Raw genomic sequence first — 8,563 nt, 5'->3', positions numbered from 1 at the left:
AGACTTCCTAGGGGCTGAACTGTGTCTCCTTAATTCATATGTTGAAGTCTTAACAGTACCTACTACAGTAGCTCAAAATGCGACTGTATTTCCATAGGATCTTTAAAGAGATAAAGTTAAAACAAGCTCATCAGGGTAGGCCCTAATCCACTATAACTGGTGTCCTTATAAAAGGAGATTAGGACACCGACACACACAGAATGGGAGTTGGCCATGTGAGGATGAAGCAATGAGGTGGCCATCTGCAAGCAAAGGAGTGAGGCCCTGGGAGAAACCCACCCTGCCAACACGGTTGTCTTGGACTTCCAGCCTCCAGAATTGTGAGGAAATCAGTCTCTTTTGTTTAAGCCACCCAGTCTATGGTACTTTGTTATGACAGCCTGAACAAATTAATACAAGACTCTGAACACTTTCTAAATTCGTATCTGGAGGTGAGAGAGTACATGTTGCAGATTGTCAAATAGAGACGTGGCTCAGTCAAGATGGGATAGGGGCAGTGAGGACCTCTCGATTTTGGGCAGGAAGCTGGCAATTTTGTTGTGCAGTAATAGCAAGGCAGTGGTGAAACTATTCTATTTTCTCTTGGTGCTCTGACCATGAGCCTACTGAAGTTGAAAGTTAAAGAGAGATGGTAGAAAAATGTCAGGCTGATGGAATAAGATGAATTTATTTTGTAGCCTTCGGTTAGGTCCTACCAGAAAAACAAGTTTTGTTAGAAATGGGCAATCTGAAAGCAGCAAGGGAAGAAAAGACAGCTTTGCTACAGGAGGCCCTTTCTTCCTACAGCCATCAACTTAGAAACTTAGATGTCCCTGGCTGGGCGTGGTGCCTCAAACCTGTAATCCCAGCACTTTGGGAGGCTGAGGCTGGGGGATTACCTGAGGCCAGGTCAGTGTGGCCAGCATGGTGAAACCCCATCTCTACTAAAAACACAGAAATTAGCCAAGTGTCTTGGCATGTGCCTGTAGTCCCAGCTACTTGGGAGGCTGAGGCAGGAGAATCGCTTGAACCTGGGAGGTGGAGGTTGCAGTGAGCCAAGATGGTGCCACTGCATTCTAGCCTGAGCAACAGAATGAAACTCTGTCTCAAAAAAATTAAATAAATAAAATAATAGAAAGTTAGATTAGACGTCTCTGAGCTTCGCTGAATTGAAAAGTGGGGTTCTCTGTCATCAACTAATATTACTTCTCACAAAGCCTAGGGTGTGGAAAACATATCAGAAGATAAGATAGGAGTCAGAGAGAAGCTTCATTCCTGTTCTTTTAGGCTTCTCCCAAACATCTTGCAGACATTTAGCAGCCTGAGAAGGGTGACAATGGTCTCCATTGTAAAGAGTCACCCATCAGACATAACCAAGGGGCAAGGGCCAAGTTATCTGTGCTTTGAGGGTGCTGGTTCTGCCCTGGGGCAGCCAGCATGGACAACACTAGGTTGAGGACTAGGTGGGATAGCAGAGCATTAGGGCCTGTGCTGAGACAAAAATCCCGCAATAAAGGGTCTGGAATCTAGGACTGTGACCAAACATATTTGACTTGGGCCATCGGTCAGTAGAGTTGCCTAATTTTTTTTTTTTCTCTTTTTTGAGATGGAGTTTCGCTCTTGTTGCCCAGGCTGGAGTGCAATGGTGTGATCTCAGCTCACTGCAACGTCCGCCTCCTGGGTTCAAGTGAATCTCTTGCTTCAGCCTCCCAAGTTGCTGGGATTACAGGTGTGCACCACCATACCCGTCTAATTTTGTATTTTCAGTAGAGACAGGGTTTCACCATGTTGGCCAGGCTGGTCTTGAACTCCTGACCTCAGGTGATCCCCCACCCCAGCCACCTAAAGTGCTGGGATTACAGGTGTGAGCCACCGCGCCTGCCTGAGTTGCCTGATTTCAAACTGTATAGTTACATTGCCCAAGAAACTGCAAGCTTGGACCAAAAAAAGGTGGCAATGGCTCAACTTCCAAAGCAATTTTCCAGCTCCTCTCATCTGCACCAATGGCAGTGGGCTGTGTGGCTTCAGAGGGGAACACCTCCTAATACCTTTCTAGGTCCCAGTGGTTTGGGTGGTGGGCGGGATGGGAGGTTTACCTCCTTCTGCCCCATTTACCTGACAAGTGCAGGATGAGGCAAGTGACTCAGGTTTGATTAGTATCATTTTCCATCCCCCTGATCCCAGTGATTGGTTCAGACCAACTAACTGCAATGAGACTCAATCCTAGGGTTGTTTTGCAGGAACTGTTGGGAAAGTGAAGCACTTCATCCTTCAGTTGCTAAATTAGCAGAATAAGCTTCAGGTAGGATGTTACTCTGTAGAAAGAGCTGACTGAAAATGAAGTTAAAACTGAGGAATGTATAGCTGGGCAATATATACGTGGAGAGGGATGTTAAGTACTTGTGATGGTGGTTGAACCTCTAGGATCCAGCAATGCCTAAAGTGATTGCTACTTCTGGATTTCTCAACTTTTTCATTACACGAACTAATACATTTCTCCCCCCACTTCACTTTTTATTGTTATTTTCTCACTGAAACTGCCTTTCTTTCCTCTCTTGCAAAGGAATTCACTTGCCTCATCTGGCACTTGGGTGCTGAGGACAGAAGGAGGTAAGTACCCCCCAAAATCAGCAGGATCCAGAAGGGTATTCGGAAATGTTCTCCTCTGTGGCCACATGGCCCACTCCTACTGGTGCAAATGAGAGAAGCTGGAAAATTGCCTTAAATGTTGCCCAGATGCCACCTTTTTAAATCCTTTCCTGATTTCTTACCTCCTTCTCATCTTCCTTCTTCCTTCTCCTTTCCTTACCCCCTAGATTTGCTTGCTTCAGTTGGAATGGTATTTTTGGCTCTTATAACCAAGACCCATGAGTAATACAGAACTCATCAACACTCTTTACACTCTTAAGCAGTTGGAGACCTAACCAGATGCCTGGACACTGGGGACACAAACTGGAATAAAGTTCAATGAGAAGTGGACTGTGTCTTCAAGAAGCCCTCAGCATTGTGAATCGTGGACATTGTACAGTGTGACACGTGCCACACTCACAGTGTGTATAGGGTGTGTTGTGGAGAAGGGGTCCTCATTTGGACTAAGGAGTTAGCGAAGGCTTCCAGAAGCTGAGTAGGAACTAGAAGTAAGGACATTTCAGGCAGAGGCAATAACCGAATAAAGACAAAGGAGTGTCAGATGGCACATTATTCTTCATTCTGGAGACCCCGAGTAGTTTGATATGGCGGGGACGGAAGGTGCCTTTAGAAATGTGAAGGCAGATGGCGCCAAGGGTAGGAAAACGTCAGACCATGGGGGACCTTTGTCCTTCAGGTGTAAAATCATTTAAAGATTTAAGTGAGGGAAAACGTGCTCACGTTTGTTACTAAGATGACTGCTTTGGCTGCAGTGTGGAGGATGGATTGAAAAAAAGCAATTGTTATCTTACCATAGGATCATGAGAATCTCTCTTCAATAAATGCGAGAAAGGGCAGTCTGTTTTTCATGATATACTGATTGCCAGCATCTTGACAGAAGGGCTATGGCAAAACCGAGAAAACACTATCAATATTAGGCAAAAAAGCAAAACAAAACAAAAGAAAGGAAAACAAAGATCTCTCTAGCCCCAACAGTGCTAATTTTTGCATACCCAGCAATTACATTTCTAATGAAAGTCATTGCTGCCAAAATCAATCAGTATAAATGTTGGAGACTCCCTTCTCTTTCCGTGAAAAGCTTTTACTATTTCGTTTCACTAAAGCTTAAAGAGAACTTCGGGTTTATGGTTCATTCTAGAGCGATCCACCATAGGCGTGCTTTAAGATGATGGTCAGGGAAACTGTCATTTAATCTCAAGGAAGCTGTCATTTGATTCTATTCAAAAACTAGGCAGTACACATCAGCAGGCAATGTAGTCTGATGCTGTGACCTACTTTGTTGGCTGAAGCCTTCCACTGTTCCTGGAAGGGAAGTTATTTTTGTTTCCTTTCATCTCTCATTCACATACATGGAATATACACATTGGTTACTCTAGAAAACACATGGGTAGTCCTAGAGCAAAATGGGTTTCAAGGTTATTTAATTTATGCCTCTTAAAACCTCAGACACTTTCCTCCCAGTAAAATTTCATGTGGTATACAGAACTTTTTTTAAAAAAAAAATTCATCTTCTCCTTACTTCTCCTTACCACCTACTTTTTTCTTTCTTTTCTTTTTTCTTTTTTTGGGTAGAGACAGGGGTCTTGCTATGTTGCCCAGGCTGGTCTCAAATTCCTAGCCTCAAGCGATCCTCCCGTTTTGGCCTCCCAAGGTGCTGGGATTACAGGTGTGAACCACTGCACCTGGCCTACTTTTTTCCCTTTCAAGAAAATACAGTACTCCAAGGCCTGAGTGACTATGAAATTTCAACTTTTGTGCCTTTGTACTCTTAGATACCATGTTTGTTTTGTTCTTCTGCAAGATTACACTAAAATCCACTTTTCTTGTATGTATACACTATTTAAAAAGTTTCACAGTCTCTTAGGGAAGCCACTGGCAACACATCTTCACAGTGTCCGTGGAGAAGGTTATGTGATTTAAGAAACACTTGTGTCTATACCATTTAATATTTAGGAATTTGTTGATTTTTTAGGATCTTTGGATGAATGAGTTTTTAATTTTATCCAGCTTATTTAGAAGAAATTGCCATGCTTGCTTTAAAAGGGTTTCTTCTCGGATCCCAGCGGCGCCCAGAGCGTCACGCTGCGCCCCCGCCCCGGGGTCGGTCATGGTCTGCGCCTGCGCAGGTCCCGGCTTGCTCGCAGTCCTGCGGGGCGCCGGCGGCGATGGGTTGGGGAAATGGACGCCTGGAGAACGGAAATCCAGTTATCAAAATGGACTCGGGAAGAGAGAACCTAACAGAACAATAACAATGGAAGAAATTGGGAACATTATCACAAAGCTATCATCCTGCCAAACTCCAGGCTCAGATGATGTCACAGGTTAAAAAATGCCCTTCATGAGAAAGATCTTAAGCAACATGATAGATTCAGAAGCTCATGAAAAGAGGCCACCAATACTTACATCTTCAAAACAAGATATATCACCTCATATTACAAATGTTGGTGAAATGAAGCATTACTTGTGTGGCTGCTGTGCAGCCTTCAACAACGTCGCAATCACATATCCCATTCAGAAGGTCCTCTTTCGGCAACAGCTGTATGGCATCAAAACCCGGGATGCAGTACTTCAGTTGAGAAGGGATGGATTTCGAAATTTGTATCGTGGAATCCTTCCCCCATTGATGCAGAAGACAACTACGCTTGCACTTATGTTTGGTCTGTATGAGGATTTATCCTGCCTTCTCCGGAAGCATGTCCGTGCTCCAGAGTTTGCAACCCATGGCGTGGCGGCAGTGCTTGCAGGGACAGCAGAAGCAATTTTCACTCCACTGGAAAGAGTTCAGACATTGCTTCAAAACCACAAGCATCATGACAAATTTACCAACACTTATCAGGCTTTCAAGGCACTGAAATGTCATGGAATTGGAGAGTATTATCGAGGCTTGGTGCCCATTCTTTTCCGGAATGGACTCAGCAATGTCTTGTTTTTCGGCCTTCGAGGTCCCATTAAGGAGCATCTGCCTACCGCAACGACTCACAGTGCTCATTTGGTCAATGATTTTATCGGTGGAGGTCTATTGGGTGCCATGTTGGGATTCTTGTGTTTTCCAATTAATGTTGTAAAAACTCGCCTACAGTCTCAGATTGGTGGGGAATTTCAGTCTTTCCCCAAGGTTTTCCAAAAAATCTGGCTGGAACGGGACAGAAAACTGATAAATCTTTTCAGAGGTGCCCATCTGAATTACCATCGGTCCCTCATCTCTTGGGGCATAATCAATGCAACTTATGAGTTCTTGTTAAAATTTATATGAAAAAAAACCATCAGTTAAGTGCCATTTATCAACTGAATAGACCTTCTAAGAAGAATGCAGTTTGGCCTCTTTCTTAATTGGCCAAATACAAGTTCGTGTCATAACTCCAGGCCACAGTGAGTTACGGGCAAAGCTGTTTTCCTTAAGCATCAACAAAACAGAATAAAAGGTTCCAATAGGAAAATGTAAGGGTTTTTTTTTGTTTTGTTTTCTTTTTCTTTCTTTCTTTTTTTTTTTTTTTTATCATTACCTAAGAGCTTTAGGCTAATTGCCTGGTAAATAGCTGTCCATCTGATGGCCTTTGACAGGGAACCTAATCCCCAAGATAAGATTCTTTTTCTCAAACCAGTCTTGAAATCTCCTGCATTAAAACATAAGTTGCTATGACCGGCCAGAGAGAAGGTCCTCAGGGGCCAGGGGCTCCTCAGGCTTCCTTTGTTACTCCATTGCTTTCTTCTGTGCCCTCAGGAGCAGCTGCAGAGGATAGTCTTCATTAAGCTCAAGCATATGACAAAGGGGCAGAACAGAGAAGAAAAACAGCTTGTTATGTAGAGGCTTTTCATGATACATTGCTTGTATTAGTTTTGAAACTAATCACCTATTGGATAGTCATTATACTATTTCTATTTAGATATGGTAGATCAAGGAGCTATGAAAGTTCCCGTTTTGCTTTCTAGGTTTGAAAGTTTTCTGTTTGATTCTGACTGTGACCCTCAACCCTTCCAAAATATTCTTATGTTAATTTCACTTATTTCATTGCTGAAAGATGAAGGGACTTAAATTTTGTTATAGGTGTTCCATCCTGTTAAGAAGTTTTCATATTGTGTATAGATCAAATTCTGTTTAGCTTGGTTTCTTTGACTTATTGATGCCATCTCAGCAAAGGTCTGTGGTTATTTTTCCCGTGGAGTAGGAGTTGGTCATATTCAAGCATCCTGTTCTCTTAAAACTCTCCTTTTAAAAAATAAACACTTCCATAACATTTTGTTTTGTAAGTCTATTAATGCAATCCCACTTTTTTCCCCCTAGTTTCTAAATATTACAGAGTGGGGCGGGGGGCGGGAAAGGCTCAGGATAGTTTTCACCCCATAGTATTCGCTGTCTTTTATTTTACTCTTGGAAATAGAGACTCCATTAGGGTTTTGACATTTTGGGAACCCAGTTTTACCATTGTGTCAGTAAAACAATAAGATAGTTTGAGAGCGTATGATCTAAATAAAGGCATTTGAAGGGTTAGTTTGAACTCTAAAAGTAGGTAATAGCCAAATAGCATTCTCATCCCTTAACAGACGAAAACTTCTTTGTCAAAGGTATTAGAAAATGTGAAAATATTTTTTCCAGATGAAACTCATGCCACTTCCAATTGACTAATGAAATATAAGAGACAGACTGAAAAAGTGGATTGTGAATCTTAAAACCCTTTCTGTAAATATCATGTAGCTAAAGATTGATTTCCAGCATCTGACATGATGGTAGGTTTCTTGTTAACCAGTTTTTCTTCTTTCTGGGTAATTGCATGTGAATATGTGCACATACTGACCAAAATACAGGCCTCAACTTGGTAGTTTACTGAAAGTTTCTGGGCAAATAGTCCATAAAAGCTGTTTACCTCTAAATGCACTATGGCTGGTTAAATACAGTGAACATCCTTCTTCCAGCTGTAAAGGATGAAACTTATTAAGCATTAGCCAGACGGTAATAAAGCTAAATAGCCATATAGCAGCTCTGTCTGACAATGTTGTGCTGGATATTGCAGTTTACTTTCAAGGTGCAGATGTAAGGATTAAAAAAAAAATAATTTGGCACCAAATAAATATGAGTAGCATCCTTTGGCCTATTAAATAGAGTCAGGATTTGAAGGGAATTGAGTTTGAGAAACGAATAAATAAAGGCACCTTGGTGCCTGACACCCTCATTCATGTGTGTGACTTTGAGCACTCACAGGCGTGTCCAGCTACTCAGCCCAGGGCAGGTGGGTTAGCCTGGGGTTATACCTTGGCCCTGGGAATAGACACCATTGGGCCTTTGGTTTTGTTGGGCTTCCTTTTGTCTTTACACTCCATACAGGTGGTAGAAATTTGAGTTCTAAAGCACTTTTGTGAAATACAAGCTAAGTGAGAATTCTAAGGAAAACGCTTTGGTTTCTGCTGTCTCAAATAAGTGGCATTTAAAAACAATTATTAATAAATATTTTTAATGGTTTTAACTCAGCATTTTTTTTATTTCTCTGTTACTCTTTACAGCTTTTGAAGACCAAACTGCAAATACATTACCAGGGATGATTTTGTGTTGTCCTATAGACTTCTTAAATTTGACAAAAAGTTTAGCAGAACTTGTAACCAACAGCTTTGTCTGAACTTGAAGTCAAAATGTGTTGTTAATAAGAGATTCTAATTATTGCTTTTACCTTCAGTGTGAACTAGTGTGGTAATAACCTTGAAAAGGCAGGCCAGGCACGGTGGCTCATGCCTGTAATCCCAGCACTTTAGGAGGCTGAGGCGGGCGGATCACTTGAGGTCAGGAGTTTGAGACCAGCCTGGTCAGGACAGTGAAACCCCATCTCTACTAAAAATACAAAAAAGTAGCCAGGTATGGTGGCACACGCCTGTGATCCCAGCTACTCGGGAGGCTGAGGCAGGAGAATCTCTTGAACCTGGGAGGCGGAGGTTACAATGAGCTGAG

General features: G+C 42.3%; 1 protein-coding gene across 1 annotated transcript; it reads left to right on the top strand.

Moving 5' to 3' along the window:
• Positions 1–4,768: 4,768 nt before the first annotated feature.
• SLC25A52 (solute carrier family 25 member 52) lies at positions 4,769–6,065 on the top strand. Its single transcript, NM_001034172.4, has one exon. The coding sequence runs from the start codon at positions 4,988–4,990 to the stop codon at positions 5,879–5,881; it is 894 nt and encodes a 297-aa protein (NP_001029344.4). The 5' UTR covers positions 4,769–4,987; the 3' UTR covers positions 5,882–6,065.
• The last annotated feature ends 2,498 nt before the right edge of the window (positions 6,066–8,563 follow it).

Source organism: Homo sapiens, chromosome 18 (assembly GCF_000001405.40).
Source record: "Homo sapiens chromosome 18, GRCh38.p14 Primary Assembly".
NCBI lineage: Eukaryota > Metazoa > Chordata > Mammalia > Primates > Hominidae > Homo > Homo sapiens.
Note: the sequence above shows the minus strand (reverse complement) of the source record. Positions and strands in the feature narration are given on the sequence as shown.